The sequence below is a fragment of the Homo sapiens genome, chromosome 5 (assembly GCF_000001405.40).
Source record: "Homo sapiens chromosome 5, GRCh38.p14 Primary Assembly".
Taxonomy (NCBI): Eukaryota; Metazoa; Chordata; class Mammalia; order Primates; family Hominidae; genus Homo; species Homo sapiens.
Genome location: NC_000005.10, coordinates 132,860,520 through 132,887,186, shown reverse-complemented (window position 1 = coordinate 132,887,186; position 26,667 = coordinate 132,860,520). Strand labels below are relative to the sequence as shown.

Here is a 26,667-nt window from a genome sequence, read left to right as displayed (position 1 = left end):
GTTTGTTCAGAATAAAGGATGTGACTTGTTTGCTTCATCCCAGTGAGATATTATCAGTTCGATTGTTACAGGTCTTTACTTTACCTGGCACTGTGTTTAACACTGGGAATGCAGCTAAGAAGAAGACTAACACAGCCCTATTCATCATGGAGTATAGTCTAGTGTGAGAAGACAGAAATCAAATCATCATACAAGTCCATATGAATTAAGTATTTTGAAAGAAAAGTATATGTAACTGTAACAGTAGAGGGTAGGGAGACCTACTCTATTTAGAGGGAACAACATGTACAAGGGCTGGATGGTGGAAAGGAATGGGAAACTTTCAAGGAACTAAAAGAAGACCAGCGAGAAGTGGGTGTGACTGGAGAGATAGGCAGGGATGATCCTGCACGGTCTTTATAAGCTATGTTGTGGTTTGTAATATTTGCAGTTCAGTTTCCTAGTTTTTGTTTTTTAATTTTAGATTGTTTACACTTTGGTTTGGAAATTCTACCCCTTCGTAATTTTTAAAACTTCATGACATGTTGGTGTCCTATGGATAAGGTTTGGATTTTGGAATGTCAGCAAATAATGAGAGCCTAGTCCTAGGCTTCTTAGCCATCTTCCCCTCCCTAGGATGTGTACCACAATAAGAACACATCTGTTGGTTTTGCCTAACGGTTAATGTTGTGGCCTATGCCATGGTCACATGAGCCAGTCTCCTGCACAATGCAAAGGCTGTCTGTGCAAATCTGGCCAGAGTTTGCTGTCCTGGTAAATAAGCCGCCCTTTTCCATTGGCTAGCCTGCGATGCGAGTCTTTGCTGTACCTGAGGCTGTTCAAACTGAAGAAGGAAAATGCTCTGAAGTACTCAAAGACACTGACAGAGCACCTGAAGGTAAGTATGCAAAAGCACAAGGTCCGTTTCCTAGGAGACAGAATTTGTAGTCTCCCATCCCCATCTGAGAACTGCCCTCATGTTTATGCAAAACACACCAGGGGAGGAGCTACTGTTTGGGACTTTTCAAATAAGTTTGAGGTTTCTTTGAGTTTTTTAATCTACGTGTATCTGATTGTAGAACTCTTATAGCCATGTGCAGCGGCTGTATTTACTTTTTAAATGATCTTTTGTTTTCGGCCGGGTTCGGTGGCTCACGCCTGTAATCTCAGCACTTTGGGAGGCTGAGGCAGGCAGATCACGAGGTCAAGAGATTGAGACCATCTTGGCCAACATGGTGAAACCCCATCTCTACTAAATATACAAAAATTAGCCAGGCATGGTGCCACACGCCTGTAGTCCCAGCTACTTGGGAGGCTGAGGCAGGAGAATCGCTTGAACCCTGGAGGCGGAGGCTGCAGTGAGCCGAGGTCATGCCACTGCACTCCAGCCTGGTGACAGAGAGAGAGACTCTGTCTCAAAAACAAACAAAAAGTCTTTTGTTTTCATGCCATCCTTTTCTGACTACTATCTTAGTTTCCTAAAAGATTTTCCTATGTTTCTTCAGGCCAGTACCACATAAATCCTCCTAAAATCTGCCTCTGATTATGACTTGGAACCCTTCAGTAGTTGCCTGCTGGGTCAAGTTTAAACTCCTTACCCTGGCCCCAAGGGGTCTCTTGTTCCTTGTCTAAACCTCTGCTTTAGGCAAACTGCATGGGGCACATACACTGTCTTTTCTGCAGCCTTTGTGCATAGTATGATTCATCTCTCCCCTCTCCCCACCCACCCACCCACCCACCCCTTTTTTAAGAGGGAGTTTTTTAAAAAAAACGATCATGGCTCACTGCAGCTACTCCCAGGTAGCTGGGAGTAGCTGGGATGTATCCCCCTTCCCTTTATCCATGTGTTACTCATTATTTCCTTGCCTCTTCTGTGAAGTCTTCCAGAACACCCAGCTCTCACCTAATAATTTATTTCTTTTGTACTTTTACACACACACACACACACACACACACACGTATTTTGGTGTCTTAAATATTTACAGCTGCTCACGATGAGCTCTTGCCCAAAGCTTTTAAATATATTTAGAACTTCTTAAAGTAGTGGTGGTTTTTGTTGTTGTTAAGTACATTTTACTTTTTCCACAGAATTCTTATAATAATTCTCAAGCACCATCGCCTGGCTTGGGAAGGTAGGTAAAATTTTATTATGTAAAATATTATTGTGGCAATAAAAGTGAAATGAGTATGGTCCAATTTCCAAAAATGGAAAGATGACTACTTTTTAAATAAGTAAAACCATCTCTGATAAAATATTTTTAGAAGTTATAATTTTTTCTCTGTATTTTTTAGGAATTGAAAATATAAATGAACATAATCATAAAGATTAGATATGAGACGTTTCACCTGTTAAGAAATCTGAGTTTTTACTAGCACTCAACCCTTTTCACAGTTTGATTTCCATAGTTACTTGGACTTATCACAGCAGGCTTATCTTTAGTCAGATCTTGGCACTGCCAGAATTTAGTAACAATGACATGATTGTGATTTCTCCTTCATCTCCACGTCACTTTCATCCCACCTATCTCCCAAAGGATAAAAAACACCATGGAACCTTTTAAATTGTATCTGTTCAGTTATTATGTTTATAAGAATTGACATTCTTTGTCCTGTGTGTATTTTCTTACATAAGTTTATAATGCTAAAAGTGCAGATAAAAATACAAACAAGCCGGGCATGGTAGCTCACGCCTGTAATCCCAGCACTTTGAGAGGCCGAGGTGGGCAGATCACAAGGTCAGGAGTTCAAGACCAGCCTGGCCAACATGGTGAAACCCCATCTGTGCTAAAAATACAAAAATTAGCCGGGTGTGGTGTCGTGCGCGCCTGTAATCCTAGCTACTCTGGAGGCTGAGGCAGGAGAATCATTGGAACCAGGGAGGCGTGGAGGTTGCAGTAAGTCGAGGTCATGCCACTGCACTCCAGCTTGGGTGACAGAGCATGAGTGTCTCCAAAATATGTATATATGTGTATACACAAGTTTATTTTTACCCCAACTTTTGATTTTTCCTTTCTTTTAGTGTGTGATCATAGTCTTGAACATTTCACAAATTTTAATACTCCTGAAATGAACCTGCCAGATTTCAACATGTATGTTTTCTAAGAAATATTTAATTGGCAGGAAGCTTGGGGTGATTACAGTTGCTTGAGAGAGCTGTACCTCTTTGTTACCTCTGAGTAATTTGGTTAAACTAGGAAAGTGTCAGAAATTGTGGAGTTCAATAAAAGATGTTCCCATCTTCTACCACAGTTTTTTAGGTTAAATGTGAATTCCACCAAACTTTCTACAAAACAGTATAAAAAATATGTAATTATATGCCCGAACAGATGGAAAGTGTTGAGCAGAGAGTGAGGGGATCTGGCTTTTAAGTCTTTGAACTGTAACAAGGTACATGACTTCTTCAGTTATTGTCCATCTCTTGTTTTGTTGTTATTCATTAAAACAAAGGCTACAGATTCTAAGATAACAAGATTATGAATTACAAGATTATAGTACTTATTTAGAAGAAATTGTAGCTCTCTGAAAACCCATCTAGTTTAAGAGAATCTTTACATTTTAAATGCTTTCATGTAGAAAGAGCTAGTAGTACTTGATTTTATAATGCTTACCATGTCCATATGAACAAGCTTCCTATTTCTGTTGTGTAGCAAAGCTGTGGGGATGCCTTCCCCTGTTTCTCCAAAGCTGTCACCAGGCAATTCAGGAAATTATTCATCTGGGGCCAGTAGTGCTTCTGCAAGTGGTTCTTCAGTGACCATTCCACAGAAGATCCACCAGATGGCAGCCAGCTATGTTCAGGTCACATCCAACTTCCTCTATGCCACCGAAATTTGGGACCAAGCTGAACAGCTTTCCAAAGAGCAAAAAGGTAGGTAGGTTTCTGGATAAACTTCAAGGGATGGAATTGTTAGAAGGAACTTTTATAATTTAGTTAAGTAAGCGTTTAGTCTGTATTTAGTTTTATTATTTAGAGTTAATGATAATCTGTTTGTTAATAGTCTTCATTGCTTAGCAGTTAAACAATAAATGAAACTGAATTTGGTCAAAAGATACCTCTCATGATTCTGGTGACAAAACTAAACTGAAAATAGTTCTTGGACTAAGACAAATGTGCTTATATTCTGGCACATTAAATGCAGCTCATACCATAAAAGTAATAAAATATATGTCCTACCCTAGGATGGTTAACAGTAAATTTGGCAATAGGCATAAGATTACATCCAAACATCTGTACATCTGAGAAGGTTAATGTATAAGAAAGCATGCTCATACTGGATTTTTAGGTATATTGGAAGAAACCTGTGAAATAAAGGAGACTAGGGAATGAATAGAAATTTTTTTTTTTTTTTTTTTGAGATGGAGTTTCGCTTTTGTTGCCCAGGCTGGAGCACAGTGGCACGATCTCGACTCACTGCAGCTTCCACCTTCCGGTTTCAAGTGATTCTCCTGCTCAGCCTCCTGAGTAGCTGGGATTACAGGTGCCCGCCACCATGCCCGGCTAATTTTTGTATTTTTAGTAGAGATGGGGTTTCACCATGTGAACCAGGCTGGTCTTGAACTGCTGACCTCGTGATCTGCCCATCTCAGCCTCCCAAAGTGCTGGGATTACAGGTGTGAGCCACCACGTCCGGCCAGAATTCTTAACATTCTTTAAAATTAGGTTGTTTGAGGCTTTGCCCTTTAAAAGTTTATTATTTCCCAAACCAAGGACATGGAGAATTATAAAGTCTTTGAAGACCTTAGTGGAAAGTACTGTATAACCACCATTTTATTTAGTAGATGTTATTAGCAAATATGTGCATGCAGCTTCTCTTTAGGCAGATCCTTTACAGAGAAACACTACATTAGCCAATCAAGTGTCATTTTGTCACAGAGTACATTTAAATACTTACAGCGTGAACAGGTAATCAGATGAAAATGAAAGATTCCTATCCCTAAAGAGAGGCAATGGTGAAAGGTAAAAGTGGAATCCCAACTTTTTTTTTTTTTTTTTTGAGACAGGGTTTTACTCTGTCACCCAGGCTGCCCAGGCTGTGGCACAGTCACAGTTCACTGCAGCATCTACCTCTTGGGCTCAAGTGATCCTCGTGCCTCAGCCTCCTGAGTAGCTGGGACTACAGATGTGTGCCACCACACCTGGCTAATTTTTCTACTTTTTGTAGAGATAAGGTCTCATTATGTTGCCCAGGCTAGGAATCCCAACATTCAACATAAAGCTGTATTTATAAAAACATAATTTGTGGCCGGGTGTGGTGGCTCACACCTTGTAATCTCAGCACTTCGGGAAGCCAAGGCGAGTGGATCACCCAAGGTCAGGAGTTCGAGACCAGCCTGGCCAACATGGTGAAACCCCATCTCTACTAAAAAAAAAAAAAAAAAACTTTTTTGTATTTTATATTTGGCTGAGGCAGCAGAATCGCTTGAACCCAGGAGACCAGGGTTGCAGTGAACCGAGATCGCGCCACTGCACTCCAGCCTGGGCGACAGGGAGACTGTCTAAAAATAAATGAAAATAAATAAAAACATGGGATTTAGTTATCAGTTGGTTCATGGCATATGATGGTAGCCGAAAGTTTGATATAATCTTAAGTGTCTAACCTCACAGAGGCTGTTACAGGAAACAGGCAAAGAATGTCCTCCTTTTTGTGTCACTTGCTTCTTATACAAAAGCAATGCACAAAATGTTTTGAGTAATCAGTAGCACATTATGGCATTAAATCTTCATTTTAATAATATCTACTGCATAATAGCAATTTATCATTTCCATTCATGGAATCCTGCTTATATATAACACTTAATTTCTGACCATACATTCTGTTTAAAATGTTGCATGACTTAGGGAACAAATGTAACTTGAGAGACTATGGAATGATTTGCTCTAAAACATGGACAGTAAGCATTTTAGTGTAGGAGGAGGTATTTTTTGAGTTTATGAATGCTGTTTTATAATCTCTACTCATAGTTTTAAAGCAGTGATTCAAAAGAGTATATATCATTTAATGAATGTTTTTGGTTTTCTAGAATTCTTTGCTGAACTGGATAAAGTAATGGGCCCTCTCATCTTTAATGCAAGCATCATGACAGATCTAGTTCGTTATACCCGGCAGGGACTGCACTGGCTTCGCCAGGATGCCAAGTTGATATCTTGAACTGAACACATTCTCGTTGCCTCTGATTTTCTCCACAACACTGTGTCACATCACGAAGGAAAACTGCCATAACATACCACCTAGTCGACACTAAGAATGAGGAATAGTTTTCTCCTCGTTGGTTCATGTGTTGTTGTTTTTGATAATCCAAAGCGATCATGTCAGTTGGCCCTTTAATATTTCCAATGTGAAAGATTATTTAAATGCTTTTAAATCTGCAGCACATTGATAAGATGGTTTCCGTGAGCTATGATAAGATTGAAATTCCAGTTGCAATTCATAACTAATGAATTGAAATTTTATTTATTTTAATTTTTTTAAGTTCCCAGATTGGGGCTAGTTTAAGACTTAGTTATTTCTGCCTATAAATTTACTCTGTTGAATATTTAGCATAAATTTAATGTAGACATTTTTATTTATATACCTTGGGAGCTTTATTACCTAATATCTTTTTGTGGTAGCTGTTCTAAGAGTAAGAATTGGTTCGTCTAAAATAAGGACATATTCTTTCTACACCTGCTACCTGACCTGATATTTGAAATCTTAACTCCAATTTTATTATTGTGGAATTTACAGTTAGTATTAAGGATATTCTTCTACACATGAAAAAATCACTTAAATATGAGAAAATGGCATTCTACATGTATGTACTATGAAATGTGTCTGATTTGGTATGCATTATTTCAAAAACTGTGAATGTGTGTTAATAACACTACAGCAATCACACAGTGACTATAGCTTGCATTTAATGCATTACAAAAGAGGGAGGACAAACTTTCTAGAAGAAGCATTTCATGTTGAAGGGTTTCATAAAAGGACAATCCTGAACGTTACGGATTTTATTAAAACCATATGTTATTTTTTGTTGCTAATCATTTGACACTTAATCGAAACAGAATAAGTTACTGTGGAAAAAAGGATGATCCAACTCCTGAGGATTGCCGCCTGTGTGTCTTTAATTGATTATCTTTGATAGTTAGAGTTATTTTTCAGATTTTTCCCCCTCATACTGGATTGTGATGCTCTGATATGAGCATGCAATGACTGATACAGAAATAGGCTGGAGCTTCGGTGTGTGCTTTTGCTATACAGCTTACAGTTCTAATGCCTGATGTAGAGATGATGAATTTCTCCTTTTTAAACCTATCTTCTGTTTACTCCTTTTGCATTATGAAGGCCCTCTTCAATGATGTATGTTTCTGATGGAATCAGAAAATTTCACACTAGAAAAGTGTACCTAACTTGATTCAGTGTGAGCTCTTGGGACAGGGAGTGGAGCCAGGGGTAGAGCTTAAAGAAGCTGGCTCTGTAAGAGTTGTATATCAAAGTACCTTTTGCTACAAGGTGCATATAGAAGTCTAAGATAAGAAATGTACCCTCTATACTTTATTTTTCATGCCCCTATCATGTTTGGTGTGCCTTAAATCTTACCTTTAAATGAAGACTCTATGGATTGTTTACAAATGAAGTTTTACACTAGGACCAGATCGTCCATACATGATTGGTCTTCTACAATAATAATGTTCAATTCTTTCATTTTAAATCTTTCTTTAGGGTCATATAAAGATTAGTTCTTTCAGAAAAGCTATTGCTTTGGTACATGACTTAGTCTAACCAGTTGGGTAATGCTGCTTTGAAAAATAGTTTGTCCCTCTCCCCATTCCAAAAATGAATCCATTCAGTCAGAAAAAAAGATTATCCTACTATTTGTAGATGATTGCTAAGGCTTGAAATAGGAAAGGGGAAAGAAGGGATAGAAAAGTTTCAAGTCCAGTAGTGCAGTGAATCCTTTGTGTTTGAGACTTTTTTACACTTATTTCTGAAGTTAGTGAACTTTCATTGTCCCTGTGGCCTCATATTTATAGAGCTTCTTAACTGTTTTGTACCTCAGATTGTTTTTAGATGTCATTGAAGATTGAGATGTACAAATTATGTTGAATTTAACCTGTTTCTCTTGGAGAAATTGCCTCTGATATCTTTCTAACTTAATCTTAGTGTGTTCTAGGAACAGTTTTCCATAAGAGGACAACTTCTCAATGATCATGATAGTTATTTAGTAAGAAATAATGGTTGTTAATCAAATACATGTTATGTCTTGTCCTTCTCTGATTTTTCTGACTTGGATTCCTTAATTTGCAGTGATGTCTTAGAAATGGAAAAAGTATCCTCTGGGCTTTCAGACTTTCAGCAACAACAGCCAGTGGGATACCTCTGAGTTCTTGTGTTCTAGTCTCTTGTATGTCCTGAAAGGCAGCAGGAGCATTTTTGGGGTCACACTGATATTTTGTTAAAGCAGAGTTTCCTGCATGGTTTATGGTGCTGCTCTAATATTTTCTCTTTAAAACTGTGTCAATTTTTGGAGAATGAATTTTTCAACCTTTTCATTGTGGAGGATTTTTCCCACAAGGTAGTAATGGGCAATGGATCAAAATCCTATCATAAATGATTGAATTTTCAATGTCATAGTGTGTGGAAATACTACTCCCTTTCCTCCATGTCTATCTTCTTAGATGTTCTGTCTTTGTCATCATCTGCTCCAGCACATACTTTGGACTCCTTTACAGGTGACCTTCCCCCCTCCCTCCTCAATAGGTGTCCTCAGTGTTTTCTAAGCATTTAAAACTGAATTTGACAAGTGGCTAAAAACTTAGTCTGAGACTTGTACTTAGTATATGGTTAATTATAGAAACAACAACTATTTTAAACAGTTACTCTGTTGACTGCTCTTTATGACTACACTTGTATGCCAGGAGGCAGCAGCCTATACACCATTAGACTCTTTACAAGCAACCAACGAACCAATTGCAGTGGTTGCAGTTGTCACAGTAGTCTTGCCTGGGCCAGACTGGGCTGGGCTGTGGGAAGCATTCCCCTTCAGGGGAGTTTCCACAGCTCAGCCCAGGCTCCAGTCTGGCTAGAGAGCATCCAGCCCATTCCTTGCCTCAGTGCCACCTTTTTCTGGGCAAGTAGCCAAGAAGTGACTTTATATGCAGTGAGTACTTCAGATAAACTTACAGCTACAGCTGCCGAAGAGTGGAGAAGGTTGACCACCATTTATTTAATTCTCTAGTGTAAAAACAATTGAGAGCAGTGTGCGTGAGCCCACAGACACCTGTGTTTCTGGGAGCTCTGGCAGTGGCGGATTCATAGGCACTTGGGCTGCACTTTGAATGACACACTTGGCTTTATTAGATTCACTAGTTTTTAAAAAATTGTTGTTCGTTTCTTTTCATTAAAGGTTTAATCAGACAGATCAGACAGCATAATTTTGTATTTAATGACAGAAACGTTGGTACATTTCTTCATGAATGAGCTTGCATTCTGAAGCAAGAGCCTACAAAAGGCACTTGTTATAAATGAAAGTTCTGGCTCTAGAGGCCAGTACTCTGGAGTTTCAGAGCAGCCAGTGATTGTTCCAGTCAGTGATGCCTAGTTATATAGAGGAGGAGTACACTGTGCACTCTTCTAGGTGTAAGGGTATGCAACTTTGGATCTTAAAATTCTGTACACATACACACTTTATATATATGTATGTATGTATGAAAACATGAAATTAGTTTGTCAAATATGTGTGTGTTTAGTATTTTAGCTTAGTGCAACTATTTCCACATTATTTATTAAATTGATCTAAGACACTTTCTTGTTGACACCTTGAATATTAATGTTCAAGGGTGCAATGTGTATTCCTTTAGATTGTTAAAGCTTAATTACTATGATTTGTAGTAAATTAACTTTTAAAATGTATTTGAGCCCTTCTGTAGTGTCGTAGGGCTCTTACAGGGTGGGAAAGATTTTAATTTTCCAGTTGCTAATTGAACAGTATGGCCTCATTATATATTTTGATTTATAGGAGTTTGTGTCTGGGTCCCAGGAACATCTACTGGGGATGACTGTTAGGCAGCTTGTGATGATGTTTTTTAAAAAACCTAAGTAACTTGGGGAGACAGAGCATTTCAAACCCATATAGACACCTATCATACCTGTATATCCCCTAATACATGGAACATAAATTTCATTTCAGCTTTATGCATTAATGTATTGAAGAGGCAGGCTTTTTTTCCAGTAATAATACTGTACATCTAAGGTTGCTATTCAGTAAAACTAATAGAAGAGATAATTATTGAATACCTTGGAATATGTAGTGAGAAGAGGCCAAATTTTTCATGTTTGTGAGCATGTCTTTCAGATACTCGCTAATGGAGAAATTCACTTTAGACCTCTAGACCCCAAAACCAAGTTAGCAAGTGACAAAAAGTAAATTATTAATAGTCTGTAAAGTGGATGCTGGTCTTACAAAGCTCCTATTCACATGAACCCTATGGTTAATTAGAAAGAACTTGCTGTCTCCAGAAAAGGGAATGGAAATAATAACTATGTATCTTCTTTTCATGTAATTTGGTCACAGAATAAGGTATTCAAGTTAAGTCTAATCCAAGTCTTAGAGATCTTTAAGTATCCTAAAATAGCAGCCTAAGTAGTCATCATGTAAAGAAGTTGACTTTCAGGAATGTCAGCATTGACCTCTCCTTGCCACTGTTACTCAGCTAAACATAACTTGCCATTCTTAAAAATAAAAAAGCTCCCACCCAGAAACTCTAGTGATACTCAGTTTTGACCTCTTACTGCTTCCATGTGGGACTTCTTTTCAGCTTTTAACCATTGGAATTTTCTACCTGCTATGTTCCTCTCTGGAAAATATCAATTTGGAAATGCTGCCTTTCAAATCAATGCCATGATCATCCATATTGTTGAGTTTGTTGTTGGTGTTCCAGAAGTGTCCCCATTTTACAACTTTATGCACACACCTGGCAAATCATTAACATGAGCATTCAACAGTACTGGGATGGGTGGGGTGGGGGTAGGGGGCTCACCAACAGAACTGGCCAGTTGACATTGCCTGAAAAGGCACCACCTTTAAGGGCCAGTTGTGGGGTTGGTAAGCACAGTTATGAAAATTTCTATCTAGCCTCCGTTTTGAATGGTTTTAAGAAATTTTGTATATGGAGGATGGAAATGCTTATATATTTATTGAAAATCCTTTTATTTGAAATTAAAATTATTTGGTATATAATTGTTTGATATTTGGGGAGGGTTTTGGAGGGGAGATAATGTCACTGATAAATTAAAAGCCTGTTGATTTTGCAGAAAGGTACTGTTAGTGACTGATAAGGATGCCTTTGTTTTGTACATGAACCAAATCTTTGTTTTACATTTCTTTTATCCAAAATATTTAGGCATCTGACATTTTCAACCAGAATTTCAATTATATACTGTGATTTTTATTTGTTGCAATACATTACAATTTCAGAGGTACTTTGGGGCTCAAAAGCTAGGATTTCTAAGTCAGTATGTGCATTTCACACGATAAAGCTGTTAATGGTGAGCAAAGTATTATATACTAACTAGATTTTTCCACATCTGTATAGTATATTATATGTATTTTGTGGTATTGAGAGTATAGAAAGTTTAGAGTGTCAAACATGCGTTTAATGTGTATTTTTAAACAAATTTATGGCAATTAAAATATTTGGAGACAAGGGTATCACATTTCAATTTGTAAAGATCTTTTTAACTCTACTGTGTCATTAAGATGCTTTGTACAATGCCAAACCATAGTTGGAGAAACTAAGTTTAATAAATATCAAATAGATTTTCTGTATTAAAGTTACTGAACACTGTACTCTTTATATTTCTTCAACTCTGAGCCCTTTTCATGCAATTCCTGTTTTGTGTCTTAAGGTCCGTTACTACTCTTTAAAAGTCTGTTCCCACCAGCTGAGGTCTCATTTTCTGATTACAGAAATTCTGAACTTGCTGGCCATGGGTCCTTGTGCATATGTCAAAATTCACCTTGTCCCAACAGAAATCTTAAATCTCTTTTGGTGCTTTTGGTGGCTTGGGCTTTCATTGCTTTATTAAACTAGATTTTTCTCTCTGTTCTGCCTTATCTTCAGACAGCCATAGACAAACCTGGGTGCTTCATTAGATGGCAAGTGCTTGACCATCTTTTTTTTTTTTTTTTTTTTTTGAGACAGAGTCTCTCTATGTCACCCAGGCTGGGGTGCAGTGGCATGATCTTGGCTCACTGCAACCTCCACCTCCCAGGTTCAAGTGATTCTCCTGCCTCAGCCTCCCAAGCTTGACCACCTTTGACACCTCCCTGAAGAGTATGGAGTGAAGGGATCCAGGGCCACAGCTTAGGAACTTGCTGAAGTTGATTACGTAGCTATTGATTATGTAGCTCTCACTACACTTTCCAGATTGAGAAGTTAACACATTATTGGGCAATGCTGTTTTTTTCTTTAGTATACAAAATGAATCCTTCTTTCCCTCAAAAGCTTGAATTCCAGACTGCTAAAATTTCAATTTGAGACATTTAATAGTATCCATAGAAAAATAAACTCTAAATTGACAAGTTTAGTTATGCTTATCCATATATCAACATTCTAAGAAGAAATGGAGACCAATTTAAAGCGTACATCTGCCTTTAAATATTAAAAATACAAGATTGCTTCACTTGGGTGTCTCCAGCCAAAATGCAGTTAATCAATATTCCATAGAACGGAGCATTGTCGGAGGTGACTGCTGTCCTTTCTTTCCCTGGTATGTACATCATTCCTGGGCCACACTTAAGGAACAGCGTCTTTTTCTAGGGGAAAAGAAAGGGTAGTTTTTTAAGACTGGGTCTAGGAATGACCAGGGCCACCTATGCTGCATTTCCTTCCTCTTTGCTTGATCTGTCCAGTCTCAGGAAAGACTGAAGAATGGAAAGGCACCACTCTTTCATGGTACCCACATAGAGCTGTTCTTGGCTCCTAACTCCTAAGGGATTTTCCATGGAGCTCCCAGTCTCAGTCTAGAACTCCTCCATCCCAGCTTTATTCTTAGGTTCATGTGTCCCCTTGTCACTCCTCTGCCCAGCTTCCCAGGGCTCTCTGGCCCAACCCTGCTCCCAGGTTCAGGGAGTACCTGCATAGCCTTGTGATACACTCAGAATCATCCCGGCAGGAGGCTCCAATAGGCCTGAGGGAAACCCCTCTCCAAAATGGGGTCATTCTCCGTGGCCTTCTCTTTGCCGAACTCACTTCTGGTATTGGGGAGCCATCTATCTGTAAGGGCAAAGACATTCAGATATGAAAGTGTTGACACCCTGCTGCACACCTTGGAAGAGTGATCATTCCATTCCGCAGATGCTGTAGACTCAGAACAGAGGAACCATTCCTCAGGACTGAATCTAGCTTTCAAGTTCCACCACCACTATCATCTCCACACTCCACACACACACATAAGTATCCTTCCCTCCTTACCTGGCCCAACAGCAACAGGAAGATCATGAGGACTGCACAAAGTTTGAGGTGCCACATCTTGACAGGGGGAGGATGTTGGAGCCTGAAAGCCAGGGACAGTTCCTACTTCCTTTTATAGACTGACATCAACTCTTGCATTGTTACTGGGTGAGATGGGGGCAAAGTTTATATTTGTAATCAGAATCAATTTAATAAGTTAATGTCTACCGGAGGAATGTGCTCAAGGGCCACCTTTCAGGCACGTTGTATTTACTGATCCCTCATCTGGACTTTGAGTGATTGTGTTGCTGGCATGGACCCTTTCGCCCATTTTACCAAAAGTCAGCACTGCCCTTCCTTCCCTTTGAAAGCCACGTGAAACCATTGAGGGAGGTCAGGCAACTAGCCACATTTCTATTCCAAAATAGCTCAGTGAGATCACTCCCATAGAATTCCAATAATGAAGTCTTCAGAAATAATGTTGGCCCCTTTCAGCCTTGTCTAGGAAAGAAGCACTGATCTATTGTGTACAGCCAATTGGATAAGGCCCTTATCTCCTTTCTGTGGGAGGATGCTTCAGCAAGGCCTACAGTTCCCCAGATCGTCCACTTGCTTAGATGGACTGTCACCCTAATCTGCACCTCTTTATCTCACTAGTAAAATGAAGACCCAGCTGTGGAAAGTTCAAAGTCTGGCCTCCTGCCCTCTCAGGGGAATGGCTGGATGTGAGACTTATTTGGACCACAGGTGAATTGAATAATTATAGGTTTCTTTTTGTTTTTAAGCACATGTAGATGAGGAGGTAACAAGATCTCCTAAATCAGAGGGAGAGCTTGTGTAGTGACTGTATTAAAAGCCTTGAATTATGGGCTTTCTTCCCAGTAGTTGAGTGGGGCCTTTCCTTCCGGCAGCTTCAGGGCAACAGGCATAGGGATGAGATACCTCCAAAGCCCAAAGCATCCATCAGTTTAAGTAGGAACTGCTGCAGATTTCTAGACCAAGGGAGGACATGTATCTAAACGATGGGTAGTTATGGGTACTCGTGAAATGACATGGGCATTTTAAGTTTGAGGGGAAAGCTGTGAATTCTGAGTAAGGAGACTGATTGGACTTTAGATCTTCCTATGACCTGGGAGGATAATAAGCTTAAGACAAAGACAACAAATTCTTTCTGCCGGGCATCATACTGAAAACTTGGCTAATACCTCTTCCCAAGGGCCGTCTCATCTTCACAGGTTGGGTATTTGGATAAGAACCTGCTTGTTCCTTTACTCCAGGAAAACGTGGAGGAGATGCACAACAGCTGAAGGTAGAAAAGGATGGCCACTGACCCTGCTGCCAGTCAGACAGAGGGAGCTTCTTGCCAAGGGAGAAGCAGATGGTTTGATGGACCTCAGAGCTGGAATTGGGCAGGATGTGACCACAGATCTGACTGTCCTGATTCTAGTCCTCTCAGAATCATGGAGCCAGGCCTTGAGGGGGATGCCACTGCATGCACTTTAGGAACATTGAGAAGAGACCTATATACCAACGAACCAGTTGAGACTAGTTCTCTGCTCCCTCCCTTCACCCCTAAGCTTGGATACTGGATGATCCCAGACAGGTGCCTAAACTGGGAACTTTTGCTGGGAGGGGAAGTGGCTATGTGGGTGACCTAGTGAGCACTGGGTAAGAACACAAATGATTAGATAAGCAAAGGACTGAACAACGTGATGTCCTAGAGCCAGTTGGGTCTGTGGCCTCAGTGTCAGCCTCCCCTTTACCAGTCTAGAGTGATGTGCCAAATGGGATTTGGAAACTGTTCATCCAAAAGATGAGTAATTCTCCTAATCCTCCATTTCTGCCTTCCTGTACTTCTAGCAGGATCAAACTAGCATGGTGTTAATTTGTAAAGCTGATAACACAGTCAAGGAAAGAAAGAGCTTGAAGCCCTTGCCCCTCTGTGTGTAGGCGGAAAGGACCATTCATCCTCATGAGTGTGACAACATTGCAGAGGCCTTTGGTTCAAGCCTCTATGTTGTATGCCACCCTCTCCCCAAAAGAAAAAACCATTAGTCACTGTCTGTGGAAGGAACCACTGTTGGGGAAGGGGAAAGTATTTTAACATGTCTACGTGAATGCTAGTTGTTTTAGTTAAGTATGGAGCAAAAATCAAACTCAAAGCAACATCCAGGCAGCAGTTAGCTGAATTGGCAGTATTTGTCCACAGCCATCCCATACTTGAGAGACTGTGAAGGCCTCTTCTTGAAATTAAAAAAAAAAAAATTTCATGGATTCTACAATCAAGTATTTTGCTCAGTGAATATACACGTAACTGCATGCTCCTTCATCCAATAGAAAGGCCTAAGTAGCCTTTAACAGTTGCAGCCGTAAGAAGGTAGAATGCTTGGCTGGTAAGCAGTAGCCTGGGGTCTACAGAGTGCAACTGCCCATAGGCCAGCCCTTCCCCTTTTTGGGCTTTAGTCTCCTATTCTGTCAGTTTGGGGGTTCAAATGACTAATTTACAAGAAGAAAATGAGACTGAAGCAGATTTGATAGCTGAGAGCTTGGTAACTCTGGATACAACTCTCAAGAGATTTTATGCTTCTGAGGCAAATGCTTAGGATGAAATGGGAGAAAGAGGGTATAGCTACATGAGCAGCTGTTTGAAACACATTCCAGGTCGATCACTAGGAGTTGGCAGTAATTGGAAACTTTTTGCTGTCCCTAAGCAGGAGGTGCCTAATAAAAGATGAAAGACTCTGAAATGGAAAAACTTTACCAGGTAAAATTTCAACAAAAGGTCAAGGTGTATTTGCTTTTTTGCTAGCTGGAACTGGCATAGACTTTTGGGCCTACCTTAGGCCTGCATTTTGAGGACTGCCTGCAAACTAAAAGAGCAAGGGCATTCCTTTCATCAGACTCTGCAGCCCATAGATAAAAACGCTTGTGGGGGCAGGAGCATTTGGAAAAAGAAAGGTCAAATGGAGCAAATGGTTGTGCCAGAGTAGCAGGTAAGGGATCCATACCCAGGACTGGAGGCTCCAGATGGGTTACCAGCACTGAAGCCCACAGCAGCTGTCTTTCCTTCAAAGGTTTTACTCAGGTTCTCCTCTGAGGATTTCTGCAAATGTCCCCTAAAATGATCCCAGGTCATGTATAGGAGCACTGAACTACTAAAACTCACCACATTCCACACACCCACCACCTCAGCACTCCTGCCACACAGGTGAGATCCATTTCCCCAAGCTTAGAGAGGGAAGCCCTTTGATGAGACACAGGCTTAAAGCAGACTAATTTCATCCAAAGCAGAAGCTCCACACATCACAGGGCTTACGGCAGAGTCATCTCAGTAGAGCACTCCTGGAATAAAAAGAATAGGCTTGGTGCCTGGTTTGGGCTGAGAAAAGGGATTTGGATCTTTTGAGCTGGTCTCTCCAAAGGAGTCAAAGAACCAGGGAGAAATAGTCTAAGTGTAGAACAAGGTGAGCAAGATGGGAGAGGGTGGCCGTCTACTTCGGCGGGTTGGGGCAAACACCAGAGGGAGAAAGACATTAACGGCCTCTCAAAGCAGTGGTCCTCCTCTGGGCTGTGAACTCTTTGAAGCTATGCAAGGTAAGGATGGGTCCACAGTTTTCATCATTCTCAAGTCTATGACCCAAATATGTTGCAAGACCTGGGAATAAATCTGGACAAAGAGGCAAATGGGAAAATTGGACTGTCTTTTGGGGGTGAGGTAGAAGAGTTCCTCAGTTAGTTGCCCTGTGTTAAGCCCGTACCATCTTGCCAGACACTTGTCACTCATTTCACCATCACCACAACCCAAGAACTTTATAATATTTCTATTTTATGGGTGAGAAGCTTAAGGCTCATGAAAGTAGGTTTCTTGCCTATATCACATAATGAGGAAGTGACGGGCTAAGAGGACGAGCCCAAGACTGTAAGACTCAGCCTTTTCCCCGTATCCTGCCTCACAATGTAGTTTATCTTTTAGGTTTTGTTTTGAAGTCTCGCTCTGTCACCCAGGCTGGAGTGCAGTGGCACAATCTTGGCTCACTGCAACCTCCACCTCCCAGGTTCAAGCGTTTCTGCCTCAGCCTCCTGAGTAGCTGGGATTATAGGCGTGTGCCACCACACTCAGCTAATTTTTATATTTTTAGTAGAGACAGGGTTTCACCATGTTGGCCAGGCTGGTCTCAAACTCCTGACCTCAAGTGATCCATCCACTTCAGCCTCCCAAAGTGCTGGGATTACAGGTGTGAGCCACTGTATCCGGCCATGTTTTGAAGTATCTTAACTTTTGATTCTTAAAAGGCAATAGCAGTAATTAGGATAATAAAGATACAGTCTGGCCAGGCACGGTGGCTCACACCTGTAATCCCAGCACTTTGGGAGGTCGAGGCAGGTGGATCACGAGGTCAAGAGATCAAGACCATCCTGGCCAACATGGTGAAACTCCGTCTCTACTAAAAAAAAAAATAAAAATACAAAAATTAGCTGGGTGTGTTGGTATGCGCCTGTAGTCCCAGCTATTTGGGAGGCTGAGGCAGGAGAATCACTTGAGCCCGGGAAGCGGAGGTTGCAGTAAGCTGAGATTGCGCCACTAAACTCCAGCCTGGTGACAGAGCAAGACTCCCATCTCAAAAAAAAAAAAAAAAAAACACAGTCTGACCCAGAATCAAAGTTGCTGCTAGCAGGAAGAGTCCTTAGAAGAGTTTCTAAAAACGGATCTCAGATCCCATAGCATATACTGTACTGACTGAGCTATGACAACTCATCATATTCCACATACCTGCTACCACAGGTGAGATCCATGTCCCGAAGCTTAGAGAGAAGCCTCTCTAAGGAACTAGAGGCATAAAACTGCCAACCACACCTACCCCCACCATCTCTCGGTGGGCGAAGGGAAAATGGTATCTTTAATACCAAAAAGATAATTTAAAGGCTTTAGATCAGGGGTAAACTTTATTCATAAAGGGCCAGAGTAAATCTTTGAGGCTTTATGAACCACATATGGTTGAAAACATTGTTGGCCTCCTGGCACAGAAACAGAAAACTGCTGTGGAGGCTAAGAGATCACCTCATCCGTTTTATAGCTGATATCCCCTCAGGCTAAGGCCTGCCTTAGGAGGAAAGGCAGTAGAGCAAGCTTGTCCAACCGCAGTCCTGGGCAGCAAGCAGCCCAGGATGGCTTTGAATCCGACCCAACAAAAATTTGTAAACTTTCTAAAACGCTGAGGGTTTTTTTTGCCATTTTTTAAAGCTTATCAGCTATTGTAATGTTAGCGTATTTTATGTGTGGCCCAGGGAAGCTAAAAGATTGGACACCCCTGCAATAGAGCATAGTTTTAAGAGCATCACTTTAGTGCAAGACTCCACCATTCACTGCTGTATAATTTCTGGCAAATTACTTAATCTCTCTGTGCCCATTTCCTCATCTGCCAAATGAGGATACGTTAAAGGTGCTTGTGAGGTTTAACAGTTCATTTGTGTAGCTAAGAAGAGTATTTGAGGCCCAGAGCACCATGGCTTACGCCTGTAATCCCAGCACTTTGGGAGGCTGAGGCGCACAGATCATCTGAGGTCAGGAGTTCCAGACCAGCCTGGCCAACATGGTGAAACCTGTCTCTACTAAAAATACAAAAAATTAGCCAGGTGTGGTGTCCTGCACCTGTAATCCCAGCTACTCGGAGGCTGAGACAGGAGAATCGTTTGAACCCAGGAGGCACAGATGGCAGTGAGCCGAGATCACACCACTGCACTCCAGCCTGGGTGAGAGAGCAAGACTCCATCTCAAAAAATAAAAAATAAAAGCGTCCCTGACACATACTAATTACAATATAGTTAGTAGACTTTATTGTTGCTATGGGAGCAGAGGGCCAAGAACCAGCACTCGCCATAGCCCATGTCACCCACAAATGGTTAGATGCAGGAGTACCTGCAGCTACTTTCTTGTAGATAATGGAACAAAGGGGGAGCCCTGCTCTTTCACCAAAACCCGAGACCAGGCAAAACTTCAAGACTCATGCTGAGGAGGGGCGCTTCATGAACTTGAATATTAGTGGTCACACAGGATTCTACTCACAAAAATGTAATATCACAACAGTGCAGACCATAGGAAGTTTATTGTGTCTTTGAGACACTACAATGCAGACTCCTCTTCCAGAGAAAGGTCTTTCAGAGACAGGGAACCGTCATCCGGATGCGTTGCTCATTTGTCATTTTCATAGGCAGCTGGATTCTTCCTCTTGGATCTCTCGAACTCTTCAGTCCCCCATGTGTAGATAAGATAAAACACTACAAACTCTTTAAAAATTAAGAGAGTAAACAGAGAGCACACATATAAGACATATAGAAGAAAAAAAAAGGTCTCAGTCCTCTTGTCTTCTTTAAAGCATACACTTCAGTAGTTCTTAGCATATCCAAGGCCATGCAACTATCATCACTATCTGCTGCACGTTTAACACAAAGCATTTCACCACTGGTAAGAACTAAATAAAGGTGACCTCAGAGGAACATGCTGGAATCACCCGAGTGACCTTGGGCCAGTCATTTCAGTTCTGTAGCTCAGTTTTCCCCGTGTAAGATGGGGAGGATAATATGACCAGCTTAAGGGCGGTCAGGAATATTCAATGAGAAAGGTGTGTACGGCAAGTTACAGAGCGCCTGCCCGGCCGCCAGCGCTCAGAGGGGAGGCGCAGTGACTGCTGCTGCTGCTGGGGTCCAGCCTCCCGCTCCCGCGGGCCCAAGGCACTCACGCGGCACCACGCGAAAGAAAGACTCCCGAATGCGGCGCAGAACATTGGGGATTCCTTTAGTGAAGACGTGCGGATAGGCGCGCTGCTCGAACGGTGACAAGCTGTAGCTGATCACATGCCGCATCCGCGTCAGATTCCCAAACTCGCGGCCCATTGTGGCGGCGGCCCTGCAGGACCGAGGGTGGACAGGCGCTTGGCTCGCTTTCGCGAAGCGCCGCAGTCCCCGCGGGGGTCCATCCCCAACCCCAGACTCCTGCCCCTGCACTCCTTATCCTTTCCCAGCCCAGCGGGGCGCCCCTAGCCTCCCAGGGTCCACGAACACTGCACAACCAGACCCCACTCACGCACAGGGCTCAGCTCGCCCTCCACAGTCACCGATCCGGTTGACTCGTTCGTCATTTCCGGCAAGGTTGGAAGCCGCTCTTGGAGGTCGTGAGGTAACTTCCGGGAGATACCATTTTCCTACTGTCTCTAAGGGATGACGCCTTTGTCCCAGAAAGAAGTGGGCTGACTGGGTGACCCGTAGGTGGGAGGTGCCTTGGAGGCCCTGCCCGGGCCGGTGGGGTGGAGCCTAGCGGAGGACGTCGGGGATTGAACTGACTTTGGGGGACAGTGGACAGGCGGAGGCGCTCACACTTCTCCTCAGCCCTCGGCTTTTCTGTGGAATCCCAGTCAGGAAGCGGCCGAATGCGGGAGGCGGGGGAGGGAACAAAAAGGTGACGAGGAAGGGGCCTGCCGACCTCCGGGGCAGCGCTGGCCAGGAGCTTGGGGCCTGCGAGTCTTCCCAGCTGTAGACAGAGCGCCTCTGAGCCCCGAGGCCGGGCCGCCCCACAGCAGAGGAGCACGAGGTTTCATTTGGCCTTGGCCAGTAGCTCAAAGGGGGCTTCGTTATTTTCAGGCCATGAGCGACCCCAGCACCAAAATCAGGGACACACATCGAAGGCTTCTCTTGGACTCTGTTTTAGAGTCCCCTGGCAGGCTGTTAACGTTCCCAAGAGATAATACAAACGTTTCGTCAGTTTCAGCCACAAAAATAATCAAATAATCGTCAATTGATGAATGCTGAGGCCGCCTCGACAGCAGCCAGCGTCCTCCCCAGATGGTTTGCGTGGGGTGGGGGGAATCACGATGCCCCAGTTCTTTCTTCTCCCCACGTGAGAAGCAAGGAAAGTCGGGTGAGAGGCCTTATTATGTTTTCCCTGAAGTGCATTCTGCTTGACGATGCTGTTGTCAATGTACAGCTCGCCCTGAGGTGTCTTGTCAGTGTTTTGTTAATGGAATTGCTGGCCATATTTTATCTAGGACTAAGCTCTCATTCAACAGTTGGCTGTGTTTTATAACACTACTTACGGACCACGGAGGCTCGGCAGGCAGTCAACTTGTATTTTGCAGACATACCTTAGTTTTCTCATGTAGGTACTGCACAAACTGGCTTCGTATCTTGCACTATGAGTGTAGGCTGACTCTTCCAGCATAGTCTCCTTCGGGGTGGCGCTGAATATCCCCTCATTTCAGCTTTTCATGGTGCTCCTTTGCCTCATTTTTTTAAACCATAATGTCTAGCCTGGTCTCAGCTCCAAGGCAAGAACAGAAATACAGGTAAGGACAGAAATATTGTGGCAAATTCTACCACCATTTGGATGAATAATAATAAAACGTTCATTTATTTTATAGCATCTGCAAACATCCCAAAACCTTTCAACCAAAATATGTATAGATGAGTGTGCAGACCAAAGTAAGGACATCAGTATGTTACATTTAAAAATAAGTCAAGGTTAAAGGCGGTGTCCTCTTTTAAGAACATCGCAAATACAATTCCAGTACTCCAAGTACGTATTCTGTACCCAGCCACCTGGGAGGACTGAGAGACCTAATGGTTTTCTGCTTTCTGGAACTTCTATGCCAATTGTGACTTTCTCACCCAAATTTGTAAATTCGCAAATTAACATGCAGCGAATAATTACAATTGTAAACACCTGGAAGTGGAAAAGGCCGTGAGGATAAATTGAGAGGAAGAGTAAACCTAATACCATAAGTTGCATACCAGCAGATCTGAGTATCGTCATGAATAATTGGTTAGCTTTTCCACATGCCTTAGAAGTTTCAGCAAGCACCTAGCGAACATCTTAATCCAAATTTCTCAAAAAATGAGAGATTTTATTTAAGATCATTCCTCAATTTATCTTAGACTTTCAGCTACATAGTTAGTCCGGTAGTGTAACAGTAACGGGTTTTACGTAAATGCCAGGGGAAAAGAGAGGAAAGCTAAATAACCAAGTAAATCTGTATCTAATTAACAAATTGGCTAAATAAGGTGTTATCAGCTGCTTGATATAGAGCTGATAAAATCTTCAGCTAGGCATACTTGAGGCCTGATTACAGAAGTGACCGTAGTCCACCCACACACCTGAAATTTATTTAAGAGACCAAGCTAGGCTCTTCCTGGCCTTTAGGAAGAGGACTGGCATGGAGAAATATGTTCCTCACTAGTTCTCCCAAGCCATGGCACGTCCCAACAAATTCCTCCTTTGGTTTTGCTGCTTTGCCTGGCTGTGTTTTCCTATTAGCCTTGGTTCTCAGGCTTCTGGGGGAGAAGCTCAGATTGCTGCTAGTGCTGAGTTGGAATCTGGGGCTATGCCTTGGTCCTTGCTGCAGCATATAGATGAGAGAGACAGAGCTGGCCTCCTTCCCGCGCTTTTCAAAGTTCTATCTGTTGGGCGAGGTGGGTCACCTAGGCTGCAGCCAGACTCCAGAGCTTTGCACTACATGAAGAAGCTCTATAAGACATATGCTACCAAGGAAGGGATTCCTAAATCCAATAGAAGTCACCTCTACAACACTGTTCGGCTCTTCACCCCCTGTACCCGGCACAAGCAGGCTCCTGGAGACCAGGTAACAGGTATGTGAAAGCAGATTGGTTAACTGGGTGGAGGGAAGATGATAGACACTTCTGCATTTCAATTACAGAAAGGAGCTGAGCCTAGTTCCTTGAATTGTATTTTATTTTGCATAAAACTCAATATCCAGTTGAAACAAATCTGGGACTTGAGCTTATTGTTTATTCCTAACGCTCTCATTGGTTAAGGTGGGCTAATATGATGGAATTTTAAAGCAACACCAGAGACTTAATGGCTTTCAAGGCTGAGCGGAAGTGCTGCTAGAGAATGTTAGCACCTCTTTCTGTTCCACCAAGCTTTTGGCCCAGAAATGGACCTTAAACATCTCTTACAGCTATTGGTGTGATGTGTTAAATAGGATATTTTTCTCTTGTTTGTTACTTTCTGTGAGAGAAAAGCTTAAAGTTCCCGTTTTGAACAGTTGGCCCTTACAAGAACAAAGTATCAGTCCACAGTTTGACTCAGCAGTTGGGTGTGGTGCTTTAAAAAATTATAACATGGTGAAACCCCGTCTCTACTAAAAATACAAAAATTAGCTGGGTGTGGTGGTGCATACCTGTAGTCCCAGCTACTCGGGAGGCTGAGGCAGGAGAATCGCTTGAACCCAGGAGGCAGAGGTTGCAGTGAGCCAAGATCGCACCACTGCTCTCCAGCCCGGCAACAGAGCGAGACTCTGTCTCAAAAAAAAAAAAAAAAGTATATATCTACCAGCTCTTGATTTAAAACCATTCTAACCCAACAGGGCAGTTGTATCTGCTTCCTTAATATCCTATTTTAATATAGTGGTTTTAGAGCATCTGTTTTTAATCTCAAGTGTTCTAAATTAACTAGGACCAATTACATTGTTTTAAATTGACTTTCTTCACTAGGGCTTAGAATGTCATCTTAGTAAGTCTGATAAGTGTTTCTATTATGGTTTTCCCTCTAGAGATTATCCAAGAGAAAAATACTACTTTCCTTATCAGCTCAGCTGCTTCTGTGTTTGGAGCAAATTACTCAGAATGAAGCTTCAGGCTGAGCACAGTGGCTCATGCCTGTGATCCCAGCACTTTGGGAGGTTGAGGTGAGAGGATCGCCTGAGCCCAGAAGTTCAAGACCAGTCTGGGCAACATGGCGAGACCTTGTCTCTACAAAAACAAAAAATCAGCTGGGCATGGTAGCTCATGCCTGTAGTCCCAGCTACTTGGGAGGCTAAGGTGGGAGGATCAGTTGCACCTGGGAGGTTGAGGCTGCAGTGAGCCATGATGGTGCCACTGCACTCCAGCCTGGGTAACAGTGAGACCCTGTCTCAAAAAAATAAAAAATAAAAATGAAACTTCAGAATGTAGTGATTCCCTGTTACTTTGATTCACCACCAAATCTGACTTTCTGGAGATAAAATGTCCAGTAAGGTTGCTGGGAATTAGTAATGATACCAATTGCCTTCCTTTTCTATATTAACCCCCATTTTTTTTTTTGAGGCTTGAGAAAGTGGGGAAAAGAGAAGGGAGAAAGCATATTATGAAGTACTAATTCTTTGACTTGACTGCCTGTTGTGTTGACTGATTTTCAAGCACTACTGGTAGATTTTTTTTCTTCTTAGGAATCCTTCCATCAGTGGAACTGCTATTTAACCTGGATCGCATTACTACCGTTGAACACTTACTCAAGTCAGTCTTGCTGTACAATATCAACAACTCAGTTTCTTTTTCCTCTGCTGTCAAATGTGTGTGCAATCTAATGATAAAGGAGCCAAAGTCTTCTAGCAGGACTCTCGGCAGAGCTCCATACTCATTTACCTTTAACTCACAGTTTGAATTTGGAAAGAAACACAAATGGATTCAGATTGATGTGACCAGCCTCCTTCAACCTTTAGTGGCCTCCAACAAGAGAAGTATTCACATGTCTATAAATTTTACTTGCATGAAAGACCAGCTGGAGCATCCTTCAGCACAGAATGGTTTGTTTAACATGACTCTGGTGTCCCCCTCACTGATCTTATATTTGAATGACACAAGTGCTCAGGCTTATCACAGCTGGTATTCCCTTCACTATAAAAGGAGGCCTTCCCAGGGTCCTGACCAGGAGAGAAGTCTGTCTGCCTATCCTGTGGGAGAAGAGGCTGCTGAGGATGGGAGATCTTCCCATCACCGTCACCGCAGAGGTCAGGAAACTGTCAGTTCTGAATTGAAGAAGCCCTTGGGCCCAGCTTCCTTCAATCTGAGTGAATACTTCAGACAATTTCTTCTTCCCCAAAATGAGTGTGAGCTCCATGACTTTAGACTTAGCTTTAGTCAGCTGAAGTGGGACAACTGGATTGTGGCTCCGCACAGGTACAACCCTCGATACTGTAAAGGGGACTGTCCAAGGGCAGTTGGACATCGGTATGGCTCTCCAGTTCACACCATGGTACAGAACATCATCTATGAGAAGCTGGACTCCTCAGTGCCAAGACCGTCATGTGTACCTGCCAAATACAGCCCCTTGAGTGTTTTGACCATTGAGCCCGATGGCTCAATTGCCTATAAAGAGTACGAAGATATGATAGCTACAAAGTGCACCTGTCGTTAACAAATGGTCCTCTTAAAACCTTGAGCCTATTTGGCAAAGTAACTACTGTGTGCCTATGTGTGCCTTCAAGAGAAAGCTTCATATATTAAGTCTCTAAATGTAGCATATGTTATATAAAGAGGAGCCTGTGTAGGTTAGTACCTTCTATGGCATCTATCAGGATAAAGGGATAACATCAATTGTTGCTACAGAGCCTTTTTTTATTTCCAAATTTAAATGAAATATAATTATTGTGGAGAACTTTACATTTTTTTCCTTGAGTGATTTTTTTTCTTTTCATAGGAGTCTTATTCTTGATAGGGAAAAAACCTTAATTAGCATCAATCCTGGATGGACTTGCAGCTATAAATAGGCAATTCAGATTGCTGTAGTCTTAATAGAAGAATAAATTTCTGTCAATGGCATAAATTTTGTGTGTGTTTTATTAAATATTGCTTTTAAGCTGATCATTTAGTGGGGGAGAGGAAGTGTCTAAAAGCTGGCCATAGCTCGACTTTTGATCCTTTTTCAGAGTGAAAGGGAGGCTAATGTCACCGAAATTCTCATGAAGTTAAGACTCACTAGGACTAGAGAGCAGGCAGTGTAACCCATTTCCGTTGCTTTAGTGTGATTGGTGAACAGTATACTAATTCTCCTTGTTAACTAGCATATATAAATCAATCGAGTCACACAGAACAATATAACATTTGTCCCATTCATGTAAAGGAAATTGCCTTGCATGTTTTTCCAAGAAAACCTACGTACAAGACTTTGTAAGTGTATTTTTTTCTTTATATATTTAAAACCTCTGACCTTATGAAAGGCAGCCAGGGAAGGTTTTTTGTTTTGGTTTGGTTTTTGCTGATTTGCTTAGCTCCCTCCACTCCACCCCCACAGGTTTTTTTCCAGATAGATTTATAACTGTTCCTACTAAGCTTGCAGTAGTGACTGGTTATGTTATTGACTGGGTCTTATGTGGATGCTAGGGTTTTTATGTAGGTTTTCAATATATCTATTTTGAGAGAGCCCTGGAGGCACAGAGGTAGGGTTGATATCGTGATTTTGTGTTTGAGTTTCTAAAACCTTGATG

General features: G+C 41.9%; 4 protein-coding genes across 19 annotated transcripts in view, besides 3 other annotated features; 2 read left to right on the top strand and 2 right to left on the bottom strand.

The window, feature by feature from the left end:
* Positions 1-11,792, top strand: part of AFF4 (ALF transcription elongation factor 4) — an 88,240-nt gene extending 76,448 nt beyond the window's left edge. For all 5 annotated transcript variants that reach the window (XM_006714587.5, NM_014423.4, XM_047417103.1 and 2 more), the window contains 4 exons: positions 784-877; positions 2,068-2,111; positions 3,627-3,847; positions 6,001-11,792. In XM_006714587.5, the coding sequence (XP_006714650.1) occupies positions 784-877; positions 2,068-2,111; positions 3,627-3,847; positions 6,001-6,128 (487 nt within the window). In that variant the 3' untranslated portion in view covers positions 6,129-11,792. The remainder of the gene's footprint in view (positions 1-783; positions 878-2,067; positions 2,112-3,626; positions 3,848-6,000) is intronic.
* On the bottom strand, positions 12,141-13,519 carry LEAP2 (liver enriched antimicrobial peptide 2). The gene is made up of 3 exons (NM_052971.3): positions 13,436-13,519; positions 13,098-13,237; positions 12,141-12,777 (listed from the first exon to the last, which is right to left on the bottom strand). Exons 1-3 carry the CDS (start codon positions 13,490-13,492, stop codon positions 12,741-12,743), a joined length of 234 nt encoding a protein of 77 aa, NP_443203.1. The 5' UTR covers positions 13,493-13,519; the 3' UTR covers positions 12,141-12,740.
* Positions 18,340-20,545, bottom strand: UQCRQ (ubiquinol-cytochrome c reductase complex III subunit VII). The gene is made up of 3 exons (NM_014402.5): positions 20,500-20,545; positions 20,152-20,318; positions 18,340-19,699 (listed from the first exon to the last, which is right to left on the bottom strand). Exons 2-3 carry the CDS (start codon positions 20,303-20,305, stop codon positions 19,605-19,607), a joined length of 249 nt encoding a protein of 82 aa, NP_055217.2. The 5' UTR covers positions 20,306-20,318; positions 20,500-20,545; the 3' UTR covers positions 18,340-19,604.
* Positions 20,067-21,266: an enhancer, noted in NCBI's record as "BRD4-independent group 4 enhancer chr5:132201613-132202812 (GRCh37/hg19 assembly coordinates)". NCBI's record gives its function as "activates an origin of replication core promoter dependent on BRD2, P300/CBP, MED14 and CDK7 cofactors, and independent of BRD4, by STARR-seq in HCT116 cells {active_cell/tissue: HCT116}" and the evidence as "EXISTENCE:reporter gene assay evidence [ECO:0000049][PMID:35650434]".
* Positions 20,207-20,707: an enhancer, noted in NCBI's record as "NANOG-H3K27ac-H3K4me1 hESC enhancer chr5:132202172-132202672 (GRCh37/hg19 assembly coordinates)". NCBI's record gives its function as "activates a minimal SCP1, AML or CMV promoter by ChIP-STARR-seq in primed H9 embryonic stem cells {active_cell/tissue: H9 hESC(primed)}" and the evidence as "EXISTENCE:reporter gene assay evidence [ECO:0000049][PMID:30033119]".
* GDF9 (growth differentiation factor 9) lies at positions 20,536-26,002 on the top strand. 12 transcript variants are annotated; one of them, NM_001288825.4, is made up of 4 exons: positions 20,536-20,588; positions 21,715-21,750; positions 22,807-23,050; positions 24,631-26,002. In NM_001288825.4, exons 3-4 carry the CDS (start codon positions 22,918-22,920, stop codon positions 25,596-25,598), a joined length of 1,101 nt encoding a protein of 366 aa, NP_001275754.1. In that variant the 5' UTR covers positions 20,536-20,588; positions 21,715-21,750; positions 22,807-22,917; the 3' UTR covers positions 25,599-26,002. The 12 variants fall into 12 exon arrangements, with proteins under 12 accessions (NP_001275754.1, NP_001275753.1, XP_011541612.1 ...); XM_011543310.2 differs by lacking the exon at positions 20,536-20,588 and adding an exon at positions 20,608-20,673 and having other exon boundaries at positions 22,874-23,050; NM_001288828.3 differs by lacking the exon at positions 20,536-20,588 and adding an exon at positions 20,608-20,673.
* Positions 20,708-21,208: an enhancer, noted in NCBI's record as "NANOG-H3K27ac-H3K4me1 hESC enhancer chr5:132201671-132202171 (GRCh37/hg19 assembly coordinates)". NCBI's record gives its function as "activates a minimal SCP1, AML or CMV promoter by ChIP-STARR-seq in naive H9 embryonic stem cells {active_cell/tissue: H9 hESC(naive)}" and the evidence as "EXISTENCE:reporter gene assay evidence [ECO:0000049][PMID:30033119]".